General features: G+C 50.6%; 1 protein-coding gene across 8 annotated transcripts in view, besides 4 other annotated features; it reads right to left on the bottom strand.

The window, feature by feature from the left end:
• The window catches only part of TK2 (thymidine kinase 2), a 42,289-nt gene that overhangs the window by 6,312 nt on the left and 16,126 nt on the right, over positions 1-19,851 (bottom strand). For 7 of the 8 annotated variants that reach the window (NR_073520.2, NM_001172643.1, NM_001172644.2 and 4 more), the window contains 4 exons: positions 17,066-17,155; positions 14,680-14,753; positions 3,475-3,563; positions 2,822-2,901 (listed from right to left, as the gene is read on the bottom strand). Coding sequence is in view for 7 of the 8 variants with exons in the window: in NM_001172643.1 (NP_001166114.1) it covers positions 2,822-2,901; positions 3,475-3,563; positions 14,680-14,753; positions 17,066-17,155 (333 nt within the window). In the remaining variant the exon portion in view is untranslated. The remainder of the gene's footprint in view (positions 1-2,821; positions 2,902-3,474; positions 3,564-14,679; positions 14,754-17,065; positions 17,156-19,851) is intronic. The other variant, NM_001271935.1, reaches the window with a different exon arrangement.
• Positions 5,714-6,214: an enhancer, noted in NCBI's record as "H3K4me1 hESC enhancer chr16:66553931-66554431 (GRCh37/hg19 assembly coordinates)". NCBI's record gives its function as "activates a minimal SCP1, AML or CMV promoter by ChIP-STARR-seq in naive H9 embryonic stem cells {active_cell/tissue: H9 hESC(naive)}" and the evidence as "EXISTENCE:reporter gene assay evidence [ECO:0000049][PMID:30033119]".
• Positions 8,119-8,188: an enhancer, noted in NCBI's record as "active region_10938". NCBI's record gives its function as "activates an Ori minimal core promoter by ATAC-STARR-seq in GM12878 lymphoblastoid cells {active_cell/tissue: GM12878}" and the evidence as "EXISTENCE:reporter gene assay evidence [ECO:0000049][PMID:35858748]".
• Positions 9,588-9,697: an enhancer, noted in NCBI's record as "active region_10939". NCBI's record gives its function as "activates an Ori minimal core promoter by ATAC-STARR-seq in GM12878 lymphoblastoid cells {active_cell/tissue: GM12878}" and the evidence as "EXISTENCE:reporter gene assay evidence [ECO:0000049][PMID:35858748]".
• Positions 9,918-10,047: an enhancer, noted in NCBI's record as "active region_10940". NCBI's record gives its function as "activates an Ori minimal core promoter by ATAC-STARR-seq in GM12878 lymphoblastoid cells {active_cell/tissue: GM12878}" and the evidence as "EXISTENCE:reporter gene assay evidence [ECO:0000049][PMID:35858748]".

Here is a 19,851-nt window from a genome sequence, read left to right on the forward strand (position 1 = left end):
TTCGCTGTGTTGGCCGGGCTGGTCTCCAGCTCCTAACCGCGAGTGATCCGCCAGCCTCGGCCTCCCGAGGTGCCGGGATTGCAGACGGAGTCTGGTTCACTCAGTGCTCAATGTTGCCCAGGCTGGAGTGCAGTGGCGTGATCTCGGCTCGCTACAACCTCCACCTCCCAGCCGCCTGCCTTGGCCTCCCAAAGTGCCGAGATTGCAGCCTCTGCCCGGCTGCCACCCCGTCTAGGAAGTGAGGAGTGTCTCTGCCTGGCCGCCCATCGTCTAGGATGTGAGGACCCCTCTGCCCGGCCGCTCAGTCTGGGAAGTGAGGAGCCCCTCTGCCCGGCCACCACCCCGTCTGGGAGGTGTACCCAATAGCTCATTGAGAACGGGCCATGATGACGATGGCGGTTTTGTCTAATAGAAAAGGGGGAAATGTGGGGAAAAGAAAGATCAGATTGTTACTGTGTCTGTGTAGAAAGAAGTAGACATAGGAGACTCCATTTTGTTCTGTACTAAGAAAAATTCTTCTGCCTTGGGATGCTGTTAGTCTATAACCTTACCCCCAACCCCGTGCTCTCTGAAACGTGTGCTGTGTCCACTAAGGGTTAAATGGATTAAGGGCGATGCAAGATGTGCTTTGTTAAACAGATGCTTGAAGGTAGCATACTCATTAAGAGTCATCACCATTCCCTAATCTCAAGTACCCAGGGACACAAACACTGCGGAAGGCGGCAGGGCCCTCTGCCTAGGAAAACCAGAGACCTTTGTTCACATGTTTATCTGCTGACCTTCCCTCCACTATTGTCCTATGACCCTGCCAAATCCCCCTCTCCGAGAAACACCCAAGAATGATCAATAAATACTAAAAAAAAAAAAAAAGGCAGGACCCACACCTGGCTTCTCCCATTTACTGCCACTTTTGCAGCAGCAGGGCCTCAGTTCCTTCAGGCAGGGGCCCAGCCCTGGGCAGCCTCTAAACCCTCCGCTCTGTCTTGCCACCAAGAGGACTGTGACCCTCACCCATTGCCCTTCTACCCCCTCAACAACTCGTAACCTATAGACCCTCCAGACTATAAAGACCACCAACTGCAGAAAGCCTGATGCAGCGGAGCCCAAGGGAAAAGGGGCACAGGCCCTCCTGAGCCATGGGGCCTGCATGCCAGGCAGAGCAGATACTCGTGCTCTCCCAGGCACAGAGTGGGATGGCTCCTCACACAGATTCCACTCGCCATCCCAGAGGCTCGCGTGTCAACTCTGCAGCAGCCTTTACATCTCCTGCCCAGCTCTCCCTTGGCAATAGGAGCCAGATGTGTCCCATGGACCTGGTCAAACCCTTAAGACAATGGCTTGGATCACGGCTTGGACGGCCCCCAGGCTTGGGGAGCATCTGGGTCACTGCACAGAGCTGCTGTGCGCATCACAGCATGGTCCAGCCTGGCCCCATTCCACCACATTCCATCTTCCTAGCATTCTTGTCTCCAAGATTTCAAAGGAGCTGCCCAGAGTGACGCCTGGGCCCTCGTGGCAGGAATGCATCGTGCTGGCACCAAGGAAAAACAAGGCTGAGCAGGATTTCAGGAGTTGGATAGGCTTCCCAGGGCCCCCAGTCCAGCCTATCCTGAGCTCAGAGCCCCTGACACCCCACTGAATGCTTGCCCAGCCTCTGTCTCCCTCCAGTGGCAGCTTCTCACATGGGACATTCAGTTCAATACTAACTGAGCAACTACTAGGCACCAGGCCCCAAGGCACATGCAGAGGACACGGAGGGAATAAGACCCAATCTTAAAAAGCTCACATTAGTGAGGGATGGGGAACAAAGGTATAAACAAATAGTGTCAGTATGCTGTCCTAAGGCCCATGATCACAGAAAGCCAGGGGGTGGGTTTGGGGGGGGTTACAATGGAAGGAAGGTCAGGGGTGGCTTCCTGGAGGAGGTGACATCTGAGTAACACTTTAAAGACAAAGGAAACGACTGTGCAAAGGCACATTTGCATAACTCCACTGTGTATGTGGTTGTTTGTGTGTGGCCACAACTAGTTCCTTATAGCCAGAGCATAGAAAGTAGGGAATGGAGGATGATAACGCCAGAGAGGCAGTTGGGGCCGGGTCATAAGCCGTATTACAAAGTGGGGACTGCATTCTAGCCAGCAGCAAGGCACTGAAAGGTTCTGGGCTGGGAAATTGCACGAGTGGTGATGAGTATTGGAAATATCAGCCGGGCGGCAGCCTGGAGGCCAGATTTTGAAGGGAGATGCAAGGAGGGAAGGGCCAGGGCGAGATGCACAGCCCGGGCCTATACTGGCAGAGTCCCCATGAGAGTCAGTGTGGCCTGAGCAGAACTCAGAAGGGCATGGCATCTCTCCAGTGGGCAAACACCACTAAGCATGAGCACCGCCTCCGTGCCGGGCACTGTGCTAAGCACTAGGGATGCAGCAGTGAACAAGAGGGCTGGGTCCTGCCCTCCTGGAACTCGCATTCTAGGGAGGACACAGAGAGCACAAGGCCAGGCAATCTTCAGGAGGCAGAACAGACAAGCCCTGGTGCTGCCAAGATGGGGAGGGGCAGGTGGGGAGGGGAGGGGAACGCCTCCAAGCAGGAGGGTTGCCAAACTGTGAGTCAGCGACCACAGGAAGCCAAGCAGATCTGGACATCCACGTGGGTCTCTGGCCAAACAGGAAGTCAGAGTTCACCCTCTGATACACTTGGTTCCTGTTCTCTCTCTGCAAACAAGGGCACAATGATCTCATGGGGGTGGGGCCGGGAGAGGAAGCCGGGTTGGACAGAGGTGGTTTCCCAGTTTGTCTTTAACCAAGTCAAAGAGGCCTCTTACCAGCGGAATGACCTTCTCCTCTTCCCTGCATCTCTTCTTTAACCTCTGGTAACAAGTCTCAGGATTGGTCCGAAGGTAAACTGAGGTTAAAAGAATACGTGGCTCTCAGGACTCTGCTCATGGCTTGGAAGCAAAGCAGGCACACAGGCAAAGGCGGGAGGAAGGTCTGCACAGCTCGAGCAGGAAGCAGGGAGGGCCAGCTCTTGGCTTGACCACTGACCCTCCGCCTCGACTTTCATTCTCTTTCAGTGTCAGCGGCCCCGTGGGGTCGTTTTGAGGCTGAATGGGATTCTGTTCATAGACAGAGCTCAAAACAGGCCTCACACCCAGCAGGTCTCAGTGAATGTTCAGGCTCTGTCCTTCCTGTTCCTTTGCAAACTAGAAAAACCCATCAGATCACAGTGGATTTGGGTCTGAAAGTAGCTGAGCCAGGGAGGGAAGTTTAAAGAACAAAGGCCAGGGTTCTTCTCCATGAGAGACCAGAAGTCCCGAATTCTGTCTGCCCTCAGGGAGAAAGCTGAACTCCCATGGGGAAGGAACTGCCAAGGGCAAGTGCCTCACCCACTGCCCCCAAGGGTTGGGGCCCAGCCAAGCACATCCTCAAGGGACCCAGGAGAGAGACAAGAGAGGGAGGTGGGAGGGGTGCATCTCACCTATCAAATCAACAGACACGTCCATGTTCCTCAAGATCCAGTCAAACCATTCCGACAGAACTACATAGTCCACTTCTGGCATCTTCCCACTGCAATGAGAGTTGTAAGGGCTTATTCACCTAAGAGAAAACTTCTGGGCTATGCAATTCCCCCAAAAGGATCTTGAGACGGCTCTCAATGAAAGGAGTCACCAAGGGTACCAGGGCACAGTGTGATCCGTGCAATACTGGACATGCAGTGACAAGGACCCTAAGCATTCCCGACCTCCTGCTGCCTGGGAGCGGCTTATGGCACAATGCTGCAAGGGCCATGGCACGGAGTGATGGGAGAATTCACTTGGGATTGGAACTCTAAGCAGAGAAAGGGACTTTAAAGCTTGTACCCTGAGAACAGAGACAGTGCTCAGGTTAGGCAATGAATCAGCAAACCAATTTCACTTCTAGAAATTTATTTTGTGGACCAGGGTGGTGGCTTATGCCTGTAATCCCAGCACTTTGGGAGGGTGAGGTGGGAGGATCACTTGAGGCCAGAAGTTCAAGATCTGCCTGGGCAACATGGAAAGACCCCCATCTCTACAAAAACTACAAAAAAATTAACTAGGGGTGGTGGCGCATGCCTATGGTCCTAGCTACTCGGGAAACTGAGGCAGGTGGATCACTTGAGCCCAGGGGTTTAAGGCTGTAGTGGGTCATGATCATGCCACTGCACTCCAGCCTGGGCAACAGAGTGAGACCCCTGACTCAAACAAAACAAAAAAATTTATTTTGTGAAAATAATCATGATGCTCACCGCGGCACTGTTTAAACCAATAAAAAACTAAATCTTGGTAAATCTATATAACAGAAAATTCACGCAGTAACTGAAGGATGATATTGTAAAATAATATTTAATGGCATGGAAAAATTTCAAATCTAATGTTCAGTGAAAGCAACAGGATCTAAAACTGTGTATATCCCAACCACATTTCCAAAAGTATTCACCAATGCATCTTGGAAAGGTGGGAAAGAAAAATATCAAAATGTAAAAAGTGCTTTTCTCAAGCTGCAGGACTACATGAGACTTTTCTTTTTTTCTTTATACCTTTTTGTATTTTCCAAATTTTAACAACACATTACTTCTCAAATCAGCAGTGGGAGTTGGGGAGCATTACTACATATTTTAGTTTTTATTTATTTTTTTTTTTTATTTTTTGAGACGTAGTGTCGCTCTGTCGCCCAGGCTGGAGTGCAGTAGTGTGATCTTGGCTCACTGCAAGCTCCGCCCCCCAGGTTCACGCCATTCTCCTGCCTCAGCCTCCCGAGTAGCTGGGACTACAGGCACCCGCCACCACGCCGGGCTAATTTTTTGTATTTTTAGTAGAGACAGGGTTTCACCGTGTTAGCCAGGATGGTCTATTTTTTATTTTTTTAAGACAGAGTTTCACTCTGTCGCCCAGGCTGGAGTGCAGTGGCGTGATCTCAGCTCACAGCAATCTCCGCCTCCTAGGTTCAAGCGATTCTCCTGCCTCAGCCTCCTGAGTAGCTGGGACTACAGGTGTGCGCCACCATGCCTGGCTAATTTTTGTATTTTTAGTAGACACGGGGTTTCACTATGTTGGCCAGGCTGGTCTCGAACTCCTGACCTCAAATGATCCACCCGCCTCGGCCTCCCAAAGTGCTGGGATTACAGGCATGAGCCACTGCGCCCGGCCTACTACACATTTTAAATGTTAACTTTAAAAGAAAGAAAAAAAGGCAAGAAAGTGGGAAGGAAGAACGAGCCAGGGTGAAGGAGAAATCTGGCATCTATTCCTGGTATTCCTGTGGGTTTCCTGTGCCCTGGGAGGAAATGAACAGGAAAGAGAGAGCAGGAATGGACACAGCTGGAGGGCACAAGCCCATCAGCAGGCAGACAACCCTCACAGGCCTAGCAGAGGAATTCTCCCTTTAACATCCTCCATTCCACTAGTGGCTCCATGTGGGTCCCGCTCAGAGCTGGGTTCGGCAAGACTGGCCATGGGGGAGTGGCCGTACCTGAGCCATGTGCAATGGGAGGCTCTCAGTGGGGAGGGGGCAGGGAGGGGCTGACTCCAGTCCCACGAGGGGATGAGCATGGAAGGAAGTAAGAGGCTGGAAGAGTGAGGCAGGCACTCTGGGAGGCCAAGGGCACAAGTAGCCCTGTCTTGGGGCCCTAACAGCAAGGCATGGCACCAACTGGAGAGGGACATTCTCCCCTAGTCTCTGAGACCACCCCCATGTCCTCAGAAGAGAAGAGTATTTGACAGAGGAGCGGGAGAGTGGACGGAGAACAGCAGCGGGGCCTGAGCAGACTGCAGCACAGAGGCCAGGGCAGACCAACCTGTGGGACGGCCAGGACTCCCAGAAAACCTGGAGAAGCTGCGTGGGAGGCTGGAGGAGTGGGAAGGAAATCCTACAGCATTGCAGAGGGGACTCCCAGGCAACAAAACTCAGGCACTACAAGTTCAGGTGACAACTTTGTGTCCACAGGCTGCCTCCCTGCCTCCTCTCCGCTTACCTCCTTAAAAGTAGCCCATTCTTTATTCAGGGTCCATCCACAGACCCAAGGGCTTCAGGGAAACCTCACCCCACCCCAAGCTTCCAAGCTTTAGGGTAGGCACAATCGGTCTAAAGGAAGTCGTCTCCCCTAGTTCCAGCAATGCGTTCAGGAAGCCAAGCTAAGTCAATCAGTGCAGGGCCTCCCCCAGCCAGGGGCCCAATTTGGATTAGGCAGGCGTGAGGGAGGTTTGCAGGGACTTACAGAAAAGATACTTCCGCACGCTTAGGGAAGAGCCACTAGCAAGACACCTGCCCTTACTCCAACCAGCGAGTGAGAAGCCCAATGCTGCCACGACTACATTGTCACCCTGAGAGAACTGCATGAGGACACGAACAGGATGCACAGTAGCAAAATGTAGAGAAACCAGGCCAGAGGCACCAAATAAGCCATCTGTTGGGAGTTGATGACACCTCATTGTTCAGGCTACCCTGAGTTGGGTTTCAGTTAGTTCAGCTCCGAATATTTGATGTTCAAGAAACCAAACCACTATCTCTTATTTTCCTTTTCTGGAAAAAGAAGACTGAGAACAAAATTGACTCTAAGAAAATGAGGATGTGCAATGAGGAAGCTGCTGATTAGCTTCTCGCCTACTCCAGCAAACTCATGGCTTGAGGGCACAGAAGAGGTGGCACCAAAGGGGTGGGGCCAGTTAGCAGCAACTGGGGAGAAGCTGAGCTGCCCATGGGACAGTCTCCCAAGTGTCCAAGGCTGGACTAGCCACCGGAGTACCTCATGCGTCTGCACAGCTCGAGGGAGACTCTGTCCAATCCCAGAGCTGGGAGGGTGCCCACAGATATGATCATGGAACTGAACCACAGCTCAGAACAAATGAAGCAGTGTTAACTAAAACCAAACCAACCACCACTGCAAAACAGTCACAGTACACGGGGGTCTGCACATGGAGACATGGGGAGGGGGTCACACCTGTGGGGGACTCTGGGACTGACAGACTCCGGTGGCTCTGCCCCTGCCACAGCTCCCCTGGGAATCGGCTCCAGGTAGTCACAGGGGCCTCCCACTCCCACCCCCATCACAGCCAAACAAAAGGCTTCCCCCACAGGGTTGGTGCAGACTGAGGGGCAGCCTCTCCCTTCCCAATGCTCTTGGAAGGGGTCCTTGGTCGGGTGGCCTCCCATGGGCAGGGTCAGTAGGCCAGACCTATTGAAAACCCTTCCATGACTAGAACCATGTGCCAGAAGAGGCTGGGGGATCCAGGAGGACTGAATGACCAGTGTCTGAGCTGAGTGAGGAAACAGAAGCCTGATCTCCATGACTCCGAGGGACATGGGGCACAGTGGGCGCTGCTCTAACTGTATTTCCTCCTAGGAACTCTGCCCAGCTCCTCCTGTGTCTGTCTCAAGCATGGGGCTCCCCACACCACCGACAAGACAAGCCACTGCCTTTATTTCTACAGAATGCACGGAGAGCAATACCAAGCAAATCCAAGCTTGGCAAATCCAAGCACACAACTCAACAGTGGGCATGGGGGTCTCACCCTTGCCCTGACCCCAAGGGGGCAAAACCAAGGTCTTGATCCACATGAATCCTGCTGTTACATCAGTACAATTTCTTGCATCCTTCCCTGAGGCCAAGAGAGCCCCCCAGTCTGTGCGGAATGGAATGGAAGAGCTCCCTTGTATACGTTATTTCCTTTTGTTTTCACAAGACCTTGTGAGGCTGGCTTCAGTCCCAGTTTATAGAAGAAACCTGAGGATCAGAGAAGTGAAGGCCAACTCTGTCTGAGCAGGGGTCCAAGCCTGGCTCTCCCTACCCCCAAACCCAAATGCTCTCCATTGCACCACCCGCCCACCCCAGTCTGTCAGCTGACTCGGATCAAGTCCAGTGTCTCTCTAGCCTGAGCTCCAGGAAGGCCACAGCTCTTAGGCGCATGACCCACACCAGGAGGTTTCAGTCTAGACAGGAGCTGGGAAGAACTTAAGCCCCTGGGCCAATCAGCAGGGGAGGAGGCCCAGCCTGTGGTTCCAAACACCAGGTCTTACTCAGTGTCCCCAACCACAAGCCACAGGTGAGTCAGCATGCCACTTCCCGAGCTGGGTCCCACTCCACGCCCTCACTTCTGTTCTTAGAAAAGGACGACCAGGCAATCTTGTAAAACCTTTGCTTCCCATTACTCGGCCCACACAGTCACCTGTGTGGCCTCTTTAGCTACATGAATCTTGCTCACCACCTTCAGCTTTTCATGCCAGCCAGCTGCCTGCCCCTTACACGTTCCTGTCTTTGGCCAGACGCAATGGCTAACGCCTGTAATCCCAGCACTTTGGCAGGCTGAGGCAGGCAGATCACCTGAGGTCGGGAGTTCGAGACTAGCCTGACCACCATGGAGAAACCCCATCTATACTAAAAATACAAAATTAGCCGGGCGTTGTGGCACATGACTAATCCCAGCTACTCGGGAGGCTGAGGCAGGAGAATCGCTTGAACCCGGGAGGTGGAGGCTGCAGTGAGCCGAGATTGCACCACTGCACTCCAGCCTGGGCAATAACAGCAAAACTCCGTCTCAAAAAAAAGAAAAAGAAGTTCCCGTCTTTAAGGATACTGTGTAACTGGAATCTTCCTCTCCAGCAATTAACACAGCCCTCTCGAATCCCTGGTGGCATAACTGCAGTTACATTCTGCACACCCCAACCTCGCCAGGGTAGACAGTGCCAGAAGAGGTGGGTCTTTTCCCTGGCGAGCTCTTCATTTGTTCACAGCCCAAAGAGCAAGAACACCCTTCAAGAAATTTTACTTCGAGGAGATGCAGGATTCCAATATGTGGGCTTTTCTGGGGACCTGAGCCTGCCATATAGCCTTCTGTCTAGGCCCCCACAGATCCTGAACCAAGGTTGCAAGAGCTTCTGAGAGGGAGAAAAAGATCAACCCAAGCACTGAAGGGGCAATGGTAATGTGCCCTCCCACCTTGTGAAGGGCTCCCCATCATGGCATTTTGGGAAGCCTTTTCCTAGAGCATCCCAGGAAATGAGGAAACACGAGCTCCCAGGCAGGAGCTGACGCCCCACATGCCACCGTGTGGTTCCCAGTACCTGGCTGAACTCCCTGCAGGTGGGAACCAAGACACCTTATTCTAGGTATGGGCAAAGGACCCAGCCAAAGTCAGTTCTATGCTACATTTTGCATAGGTAGTGACAATGACAGTAATCTGCATTTTGAAGGAGCCGAAACCTCTAAAAACATCTACTTTGGCCAGGCATGGTGGCTCACGCCTATAATCCCAACACTTTGGGAGGCTGAGGCAGGCAGATCACTTGAGGTCAGGAGTTCGAGACCGGCCTGGCCAACATGGTAAAACCCTGTCTCTACTAAAAATACAAAAATGAGCCAGGCGTGGTGGTGGGCGCCTGTAATCCCAGCTACTCGGGAGGCTGAGGCAGGAGAATTGCTTGAATCTGGGAAGCAGAGGTTGCAGTGAGCTGAGATCGCCTGAGTGATCCAGCCTGAGCAACAGAGCAAGATTCTGTCTCAAAATCAAAAAAACAAAAAACAAAAAACAAAAAAACCCCACATCTACTTTCTCAGTAATACTTCGTTGTGGATGACCGCTCCATCGAGGGCAGCTGGAGTTGTCCGGAGAGTGGCCAAGCTCTAGTCTTCCTTCCCTTTATCCCTTCTGTGGCTCTGGCTAAAAATACTTTTTACTTTGCCCTATGGCTGCCTGATTCTTGGCCTAGGAATAAGTCCAGAAACCTTAAAAACAAAGATAACACAACACAGCCCCCAGCAACCCAAATATGAAGCAACAAATGTGAAATTAAGAAACCACAGGCCAGGTGCAGGAAACAGGAAATCCTGCACTGCGCAGAACTTTTCACCATGGTCCCAAAGACAACCCTCAGGCCGAGGCTCTTGTTCTTATGACCCCCAAAGGTCCAGTGAAGCCCCAAGGAAGCCCACCTTACCGTCAGAACTCCAGGGGAAAAGGGTCGTGGCATTGGGATGGAGGGCGCCCTGTGGACCACCTGGCTACCAGCTTTTTTTATTTTTATTTTTTGAGACAAAGTCCCACTGTGTCACTTGGGCTGGAGTGCAGTGGTATGCTCATAGCTCACTGCAGCCCTGACCTCCTGGGCTCAAGTAATCCTCCTGCCTCAGCCTCCTAAGTAGCTGGGACTACAGATGTGCACCACCAGGCCCAGCTAATTTTTTAAATTTTTTGTAGAGATGGGAGTCTTACTTTGTTGCCCAGGCTGGTCTCGAACTCCTGGCTTCAAGTGATCCTTCCCCTTCTGCCTCCCAAAGTGCTGGGATTACAAGTATAAGCCACTACACCCGGCCCTGCCACCTTCTTCTGAGGCCCGTATTCCTCAAAGTGTGATCCCCGACCAGTAGGAGTATGGTCCCACCTGGGCACCTGCTAGAAATGTGGCCTCTCAGGCCCCACCTCAGTGCTACTGAAGTGGAATCTGCCTGTAAACAAGATGCACAGGTGGTTGTGGGAGAAGCTTAGGGTAAAGCCTGTCTGGAAAGAGGCAGAGTCTCCCCCTTGGGCTAGTACCTCAGGATTCTCAGCTTTGGGGAACCCAGTGGGCCCTGAAGCCTTTGGCCTTGATGAGAGAAATCTAGATGCCTCCTGCCACTTCCTCATTTGCTGCTTGCCCCCACACAGCAGGGTTCGGAACACCTTCCCCTCCTGTGGTTAGTTCCTGCCCGATCAGGAAGGAGCACTGGCTTTGTAATCCTTTCTCAGTTCCTTATCTGCCCAATAGGGTCAACAACCAGACAGTAAATGCAGCTCCTGTCCATGGGTCCCTGCCCTGTTCCTTAACCATGAGAGCAGATGCCCCCGTTTCCAGGGAACACATAAGCAGGTGCAGTTCACAAGTGAATCACTTGCCCTGGGAAGGTGTTTTGAATGCCGCTACCCCTTGGTTCTCTGCCTCCTGGACTTAGGGACTCTGGGGTATGTGGCTGAGGGAGTGGGAACTCCAAGCCACATGCAAAGCATGGTGTTTAATACAGGAACATCCATTGTCCTCAATGATAAGTTATGTAAATTATTATTTTTAGATACAAACTTAAGAACATATTATGGAGGAAAATGCAAAATCCCAATGAATTCTAGGTTAAAATAGGAGACTCCAAGAAACTTCTGGGTTGTTGGCAGGTGGCTGCTTTGGACCACAGGGTCTGGGAGGATGAGGAAGCAGTGCTGTGGGGAGCTTTCCTCTGCCTTCAGAGGAATCCGATGAAAGGGTCTGAGGAACACCGCCTTTTCTCATCTCTCTGGAGACCATGGTAGATAGCCTGGCCCTCCAGGCAGCCACAGTGCTCCCAGTAGCCTCTGGAGTGCCCGAGGCCACATGCCCACTGAGAGCCTTTGGCTTCAAGAGATCCCAGTGATGGATCTCAAGGCCCCAACAAGGTCTTCAGGGGAATCTGAGCCCCCCGAAAGCCATATGAACTTAAAACAATTAGATCCCAAGAACAGAAAGGACACTGTAAGTTTCTTCTGTGGTTCATTGTCCCACAGAAATCCTAACCACAGAGGCCATGCATTCTGGGAGGGCCAGGGAGAGACATAAATATAAAGTCATCAGGACAGGAAAAGAGCTAAAAAAATTAAAAGCTACATTCTCTTCCTAAACTACCCACAGAACAGCTCCAGGCAAGGCCCATGTCATCTAGACCAATGCCGTAACCACAGAGATTGGGAGATACAGAACTGACGCATCAGAAATGTGGTGATGCAGGACCATGGGCGTGAGTTACCAAAGCCCATGGCCATCAGCAGGAACTGTGACCGGCCAAACAAAGACAAATGGCTCCTGGGGAAATCTACCTAGCGCTGGGTGGCCTACAGGTTTGGGGGTAGGATTGGGGAACTCACAAATTTAATAAAGACCAAGGTGGGCAAGGACCCACAAAAGGGTCCTAAGACACGAAGGAGGTGGCAGGTCCAAAGGCTCTTCAGAGATGGACAAGAGGAATCAGAGATGAGAGATGGGCTCAGAGAAATTTAGAAACTTGGTCTTGCTCACAAACAGAGCAAACTTCAGAGCCAGGATAGAACCCAGGCCCACCAAATGCCACACTCTATCCTCTCCCCTTAACCTCTGGTCATTCCATTCCAGATTACTTGCTTCAAAAAGAGCCACGAGGCCGAGCAGAGCTGTAATCAGGCTCATGCCTGTAATCCCAGTACTTTGGGAAGCTGAGGCAGGAGGATCGCTTGAGCCCAGGAGTTTGAGACCAGCCTGGGCAACACAGGGAGACCCTGTCTCTACAAAAAATAAGAAATAAATTAGCCAGAAGTGGTGACATGTGCTGTAGGTCCAGCTATTCAGGAGGCTGAGGTAGGAGGATCTCTTGAGCCCAGGACATCGAGGCCGCAGTGAGCCATGATCATGGCACTGCACTACAGTCTGGGTGACAGAGCACAAGCCCATCTCAAAAATAAAAAAAGCAACAAGAGCCACTGACCCCACACAGAACAGGCCAAGCTGAATGTGATTAAAAGACAGACACAGCCCCACTCTGCGAGGTTCATAGGTAATCCCACCCCACTGCCAAGATCTGTTCCTCAGGCTACAGTTCTTTTTTTGAGACGGAGTCTCGCTCTGTTGCCCAGGCTGGAGTGCAGTGGCGCAATCTCGGCTCATTGCAACCTCCGCCTCGGGTTACAGTTCTAATCAGAGCAGTACACAAACATAACAGAGGCTCCCTTCTGCTCTCGCTCTCCTCTGTCCTGCCTGTCCTCCCTCTGGCTGAGGTGCTAAGGAGCAGGAGCTGAGGACCGCAGAGGGCTGGATAAACCTAGCAGTGGACACCTGGAAACCCAGGTTGTCAGGTGAAAATGGGGCCGTAAGGTCAGGAATGCCACCTGCTCAGAGGGCAAGCTGCAGCCCACAAGAAAAGTCTGAGGCCAGGGGGCAAAGCCACGGCCAGGACTCACCTTGGCTGCCAGCCCCTGAGCCCACAGCATTGCTCTGATGCTCTGGGTGGATTTGGGGCAGAGGCTCTCATTTTGGGGGGTGACACAGGCTCAAAGGCATGATCCATGGCAGCTCAGGGCTCCTAGGAGAAGCCTTTTTAGTGGCCCCTCAAATGAAAGGTGCAAAACAGTGGGGGACCAGAGCCTGGGGAACAAGTTGGGCTGGAGACCAAAGCACAGCCACAGGTCCCCTCATCCAACAATAGCTAACAGGTATCAACGAGGAGCCTGCTCTGTGCTGGGTCCACCCTAGGCAAGGACAACAAACTTGGTGCCTGCCCTTAGGAGCTTATGGTCCGGGGGGGTGGGTGGCAATAAACAATTAGACACATACTAAGTTGAACCACACAAAACTGCCATTTTTGTAGGTCATAATTGGTTAAACAATTTCATATGATTGCCTTAAATACTACAAAGAAAACTAACAGAAAGTAGTCCTTAAGAATAACAAGGGGACCAGGCACAGTGGCTCACACCTATAATCCCAGCACTTTGGGAGGCCAAGGCAGGAGGATCACTTGAGCCCAGGAGTTCAAGACCAACCTGGGCAATATGACGAAATCCTGCCTCTACTAAAAATACAAAAAAAATAGCCAGGTGTGGTGGTGTGTGCCTGTAGTCCCAGCTACTCGGGAGGCTGAGGCAGGACGATGGCTTGAGCCTGAGAGACGGAGGTTGCAGTGAGCTGAGATCGTGCCCCCGTACTCCAGCTTGGGTGATAGAGCCAGACCCTGCCTCAAAAAACAAAAACCAAAACCAAAAACGAAACAAAGACTAACAAGGAGCTTGCCCTATCTAGACAGCGTGGTCGGGGAGGGCTGGGAGACAGGGTGGCATTTAGGAAGACAGCTGCAGATGAGAGTGGGAGGAAGGGCCTCCAGCGTTGACATCCGAACAGCTCTGCGAGGGAAGGACAGCAGTATCCCAAGCTCGCGGCAGGGACAGGTGGGGTCTGCAACCCATTTCCAAGACCCCTAGAAATCGGCAGTCTCTGAGCACAGGGATGGAGGGCCCCATGCCTGAGCCCTTGGCACTGACAGGCCACCAGAAGCCCCTAACTAGGTATACATCACAGAGTCTGCTCTCATGAGGGAAGCTTTTAGTGAAAAACACAACAAATGCGACGCACACTGTGCGTCTGACTCGCCCAACTCTCCACCCTTCCCTTTAGCCTTGTACCATGCTGTGTAACTCACTGGACCCTCCCACCTTTCCACCCTGGGCTCATGTGACCATGTGATCTGCTTTGGCCAATGGAATGCTAGCAAACTTGGAGCAGAGGCCTGAAAAATATGTCCTTGCATCTCTGCTGTTGCTTCTACCCTTTGTCACCGTGAGAAGTGGACACCTGGGCTGGTTTGCTGGTCCCAGAAGGAGAGTGACAGGCAAGAGGAAAAGAGATGAGCCACCTCCAGTCACCCTTGCTTAGGCTATCCTACATCGGCTGATCCCCAGACATCTCATTGAGCCTAGCCAAGGTAAGCAGAGCTGCCTGGTGACCACCCTGGCTGACTGGGCAATGAATGCAGATAGCTGTCTGCCATGAGGATTCGTGGCTGTTTGTTACACCGCATTGCTATGGCAATGGATAACTGATACAACAGCGGGTACTCCATATCTGTCAATCGAATAAACAAGTTTCTATTTCATTTTGAAAAATTAGTGGTTTAATAAATTATCAACTATTCAAACTACAGTACCTTCTATACAGGTTTTCTACAAAAATGTATCTTGCGCTGTGAATCGACCTCTCCATCAACCGTACAGATGACACCTAAAGGAAAACAAAAAGAGAATCACTAACTCAGGGGAAAAGGAGACAGCCAGGAGGCCTTGAGAAATGTCTGTTACTCCCCCTGCCTGGGGACTTTGCTGAATATGAGAATCAAGGCGGCAGAGAGAGTGAAGCAGGAGGACCTCCTCACTCCCCTGCCGGGAGGAGAAGCCACATCTGCCACCAGGCTCAGGCTGTGTCCCCCTTCCACCCTGACCTGCCCCACACCCCAAAGCTGCATGCATGGCCCAGCAATGCCGAGGCTGAGGGCTCATCAGCAGCTGCCTCTTTGATGGCAGGTGAGTCTCAACTAGAACACGGTCAAGCCCTGGAGAAACCATCCAAAGCTGTCCACTTGAGGCAACATGTGGTGACTACCACGGACCTAAATAGGGTGAGTTTGCTTAAGCAGAGGGACCACATGCATGAGGTACAGCCCCAAGAGGGTCGGGTTGGGGGTGACGTTCTGGGGGCTCTGCCCAAGGAAACTGGTAAGAACGATGCCCAAGAGGGAGGAAGACAGCCTGACAGTGCCCCTTTCTGCCAGGATGCTCAAACCCTCTGCAGACGACCTTGCCCTTTGTCCAGCGTTCCTCTGGGAAGCAAGAGGCGCCCTGACCCTTGATGCCAGGCACACTAACACTACTCTCACTTGGCCATGGCCCACAGCACCCATGGGACCTGGGCCAACAAATCCAAGGCAGATTCAAAGCCATAACCCAGGCACTTCCTCCCTCTCCCTGCTGTCCCTCTGTCCATCCATCCTCTGCCCATCCATCTTCCTTTCCATTCTTCCATCCTCTCTTTCCTTACTTCCTAGCTCCCCATTCATCCCTCTGGTCTCCTTCTGCTCATCTTTCCTGGTCTGTCCATCTCTCTCTGCCTCCTGAGGTAGATTTCCTTAAATAGAGGAGTGCATTTATATCCCTTCCTATTCAAATATCATTAGATACAACTTAGGTTTGCAATTGAGTGCCTGCTCAGGAAAAGCAAATTAGCAAAGGCAAAATGCACTAACCTCAGATCTTTCGATTTGTGGATTTGTGCAATTTAGACAGATATTTGGGGAGATGGAAATTCTTATTCACCAAAAACGGCCCACTCACATCTTTCAATTTTAAAAGACAGACTTACAGAAGAATGGTAGCTATTGCTGCAGGTACCCAGACTGGGACCGAACTGTCCAGCCCAGCAGCTGTGCCAGTGTTAACTGGCTGTAGGGACAGTCTGTCTCCTTCATGCAGAGCCTTAAAGCTGGCATCATAGGTTGTGCTTACAGCTTTGAAACATAGGTGCTGATCAGGACCTCCACAGCCCCCTTTCTTCTAAGAGACTCTGTCTCTAGATGCATCCTCACTGATGGAATAGGCCTAAGCAGCCATGTTTGTGCCTTGGGGTCCTGTCCCCAACACCTGATTGAACCAGGGCTGGACACCTGACCAAAGCTGAACCAATCAGATTCTTTGTCTCAAGAATTTGAACTAAGAGCCAGACCCCATGAAGGTTAAATAAGTGGTTCTCAAATATGAAAACAAACAAAGCATGCATTCGAGTCACCTGGAGGGCTTGATAAAACACAGATTGCTGGGCCTCATCCCTAGAATTTCTAATTCAGCAGGTCTGGGATGTGACTAGAAAATTTGCATTTCTTTCTTTTTTTTTTTTTTTGAGACAGAGTCTCACTCTGTCACCCAGGCTGGAGTGCAGTGGTATGATCTCAGCTCACTGCAACCTCCGCCTCCTGGGTTCAAGCCATTCTCCTGCCTCAGCCTCCCAAGTGGCTGGGATTATAGGCACACACATACCACCACGCCAGACTAATTTTTGTATTTTTTAGTAGAGATGGGGTTTCACCATGTTGGCCAGGCTGGTCTTGAACTCCTGACCTCAGGTGATCCGCATGCCTCAGCCTCCCAAAGTGCTGGGATTACAGGTGGGATCCACCACACCCAGCTGAAAATGTGCATTTCTAACAAGTTTCCAGGTGATGCTTCCGCTGCTGGTCCAGGGACCACACTTTGAGAAGAACTGAGTTAAACGGCATTAAGCCCAGCAGTGGTCAGGTCATAAAGATGTGAGCTCAGAATGGTGGCAGGGGCACCACCTGGCTGGCTGAGGTTTGCAGGTGGGGGCACTAGAGGCAGGTCAGAAGAGAACCACAGAAGCCAGAGACCTTGGCCCCACACAGAGAGGCCTGCACAGCACTGAAGGCCTAGCCTGGCTTCCTTGTAAAGTTTCCCTTCCTGGCAATCACATACCCCAAGTCTGAAGAAAACGTTTAAGAAGGCTGAAACTGAGCATCTGAAACCTACCTGAGGACGAGTATGCCTGTCCAGCATGGTGAGCTGCACATAAGTCTGTAGCGTAAGACCCCAGCGAGAGGCATCGTGGTACATCAGGCCCTGCAGAAGGGAAAACACAGCACTTTCCATCAAAGTGGCATCTGCAGGAGGACCCTGGTCTCACAAGGCACTGAAGGACAGCTCAAGAAACCTACACAGGCAGGGTTGGGGCTGGAGATAAACCCAGCATGATCACAGGGCTCTGACAGCAGGGTGGACAAAGGCAGACACTGAAACAATTATAGGACAGTATGGTAACAGCTATAATAGGAGCCTATGGAAAGTCTCCGAGGGACCGGAGGAATTAGGCCAGACAAAGAAATGAAGGGCATCCAAATTGGAAAGGAAGAAGTCATCTTAACCTTGTTCACGGACAACATGATCTTACACTTAGAAAAGCTTAAAGACTCAGGCCATTATCCTAAGCTAATTAATGCAGGAACAGAAAACCAAATACTGCATGTTCTCACTTTAAGTGGATATTTATAAGTGGGTACAATGGGTACTCATGGACATAAAGATGGCAACAATAGACACTGGGGACTCCTAGAGTGGGGAGGAAGGGAGGGGGCAAAGGTTGAAAAAGTACCTATTGGGTACTATGCTCAGTACCTAGGTGATGGGATCCATCATACCCTAAACCTCAGCATCATGAAATATACCCAGGTAACAAACCTGCACATGTACCCCGCTAAAAGTAAAATAAAAGTTGAAATGACCAAAAAAAAAAAAAAAAAACCTTAAAGACTCCACCAAACAACTGTTAGAACTGATGAACGAACTCAGTAATACCACAGGATACAAATCAACATATAAAAATCAGTAGCATGTATATACACCAACAGTGAACAACCTGAGAAAGAAATCAAGAAAGGAATCCCATTTGCGATGCTACAAAGAATATAAAATACCAGCCAGGCACAGTGGCTCATGCCTGTAATCCCAGCACTTTGGGAGGTTGAGGCAGGCAGATCACTCAAGGCCAGGAGTTCAAGACCAGCCTGGCCAACATGACGAAATCCTGTCTCTATTAAAAATACAAAAAATTAGCTGGGTGTGGTGGCACGCACCTGTGGTCCTAGCTACTCTAGAGGCTGAGACATGAGAATCGCTTGAACCCAGGAGGCAGAGGCTGCAGTGGGCCGAGATCGTACCACTGTACTCCAGCCTGGATGACAGAGTGAGACCCTGTCTCGAAAAAAAAAATAAATTAATTAATTAATTAATAAAAGTAAAATACCTAGGAATCTATTTAACCAAAGAAGTGAAAGATCTATACAAGGAAAACTATAAAACACTGATGAAAGAAATTGAACAGAACACACACAAAAAAAGAGATATTCAACACTCATGGATCAGAAGAACTAATACTATTAAAATGACAATACTACCCAAAGCAATTTACAGATTCAATGTAATCTCTATCAAAATACCTATGACAGTCTTTGCAAAAATAGGGAAAAAAAAAATCCTAAAATTGATATGAAACCACAAAAGACCCCAAATAGCCAAAGCAATCCTGAGCAAAAAAAACAAAGTTGGAGGCATCACACTGCCTGACTTCATAACTGTTCTCTATAGTAGCTGTACTAATTTACATTCCCACCAACTATGTATGAGGGTTCCCCTTTCTCCACACCTATCACCTGTCTTTTTGATAAAAATCTTTTTTTTTTTTTAAACAGAGTCTTGCTCTGTCACCCAGACTGAAGTGCAGTGGCATGATCTCAGCTCACCGCAACCTCTACCTTCTGGGTTCAAGCGATTCTCCTGCCTCAGCCTCCCAAGTAGCTAGGATCACAGGCATGCACCACCACACCCAGCTAAATTTTTTTGTATTTTTAGTAGAGACGGGGTTTCACCATGCTGGCCAGGCAGATCATGCCACTGTACTCCAGCCTGGGTGACAGAGCGAGACTCCATCTCAAAAAAAAAAAAAAAAAAAAAAAGCTATAAGAGAATAATTTGAATGTTTCTAGCATAAAGAAAAGAGAGCCAGGTGCAGTGGCTCATGCCTATAATCCCAGCACTTTGGGAGCCCAAGGCAGGAGGATCACTTGAGCCCAGGAGTTAAAGGTTACAGTGAGCTATAATTGTGCCACTGCACTCCAGCTTGGGTGATATAGCAAGACCCTATCTCCAAAATAAATAAATAAATAAATAAGTTTAAAATTTTTAAAGAAGTTAAGCTCTTTAAGATCATCTTTAACAAATAATACTTTGGTTTGAATGAATCCCCTAAATTTCATGTGTTGGAAACTTAATCCCCCATGTGGCAGTATGTAGCAGGTGGTGCCTTTAAGAAATGACTGGATCGGCCGGGCATGGTGGCTCACGTCTGTAATCCCAGCACTCTGGGAGGCCGAGGTGCGCGGATCACGAGGTCAGGAGATGGAGACCATCCTGGCTAACACGGTGAAATCCTGTCTCTACTAAAAAATACAAAAAATTAGCCAGGTGTGGTGGTGGGCGCCTGTAGTCCCAGCTACTCGGGAGGCTGAGGCAGGAGAATGGCGCGAACCCAGGAGGCGGAGCTTGCAGTGAGCCGAGATCGCGCCACTGCACTCCAGCCTGGGCGACAGAGTGAGACTCTGTCTCAAAAAAAAAAAAAAAAAAAAGATTGGATCATGAGTACAGAGCCCTCTTGAATGGATTAATCTATTCACGGATTAATAGATTAATGGGTTATCTTACACTGGTGGCTTTATGAGAAAAGGGAGAGAGACCTGACCTAGCATGCTCAACTCCCTCACCAT

The sequence above is a fragment of the Homo sapiens genome, chromosome 16 (genome assembly GCF_000001405.40).
Source record: "Homo sapiens chromosome 16, GRCh38.p14 Primary Assembly".
Classification (NCBI taxonomy): Eukaryota; Metazoa; Chordata; class Mammalia; order Primates; family Hominidae; genus Homo; species Homo sapiens.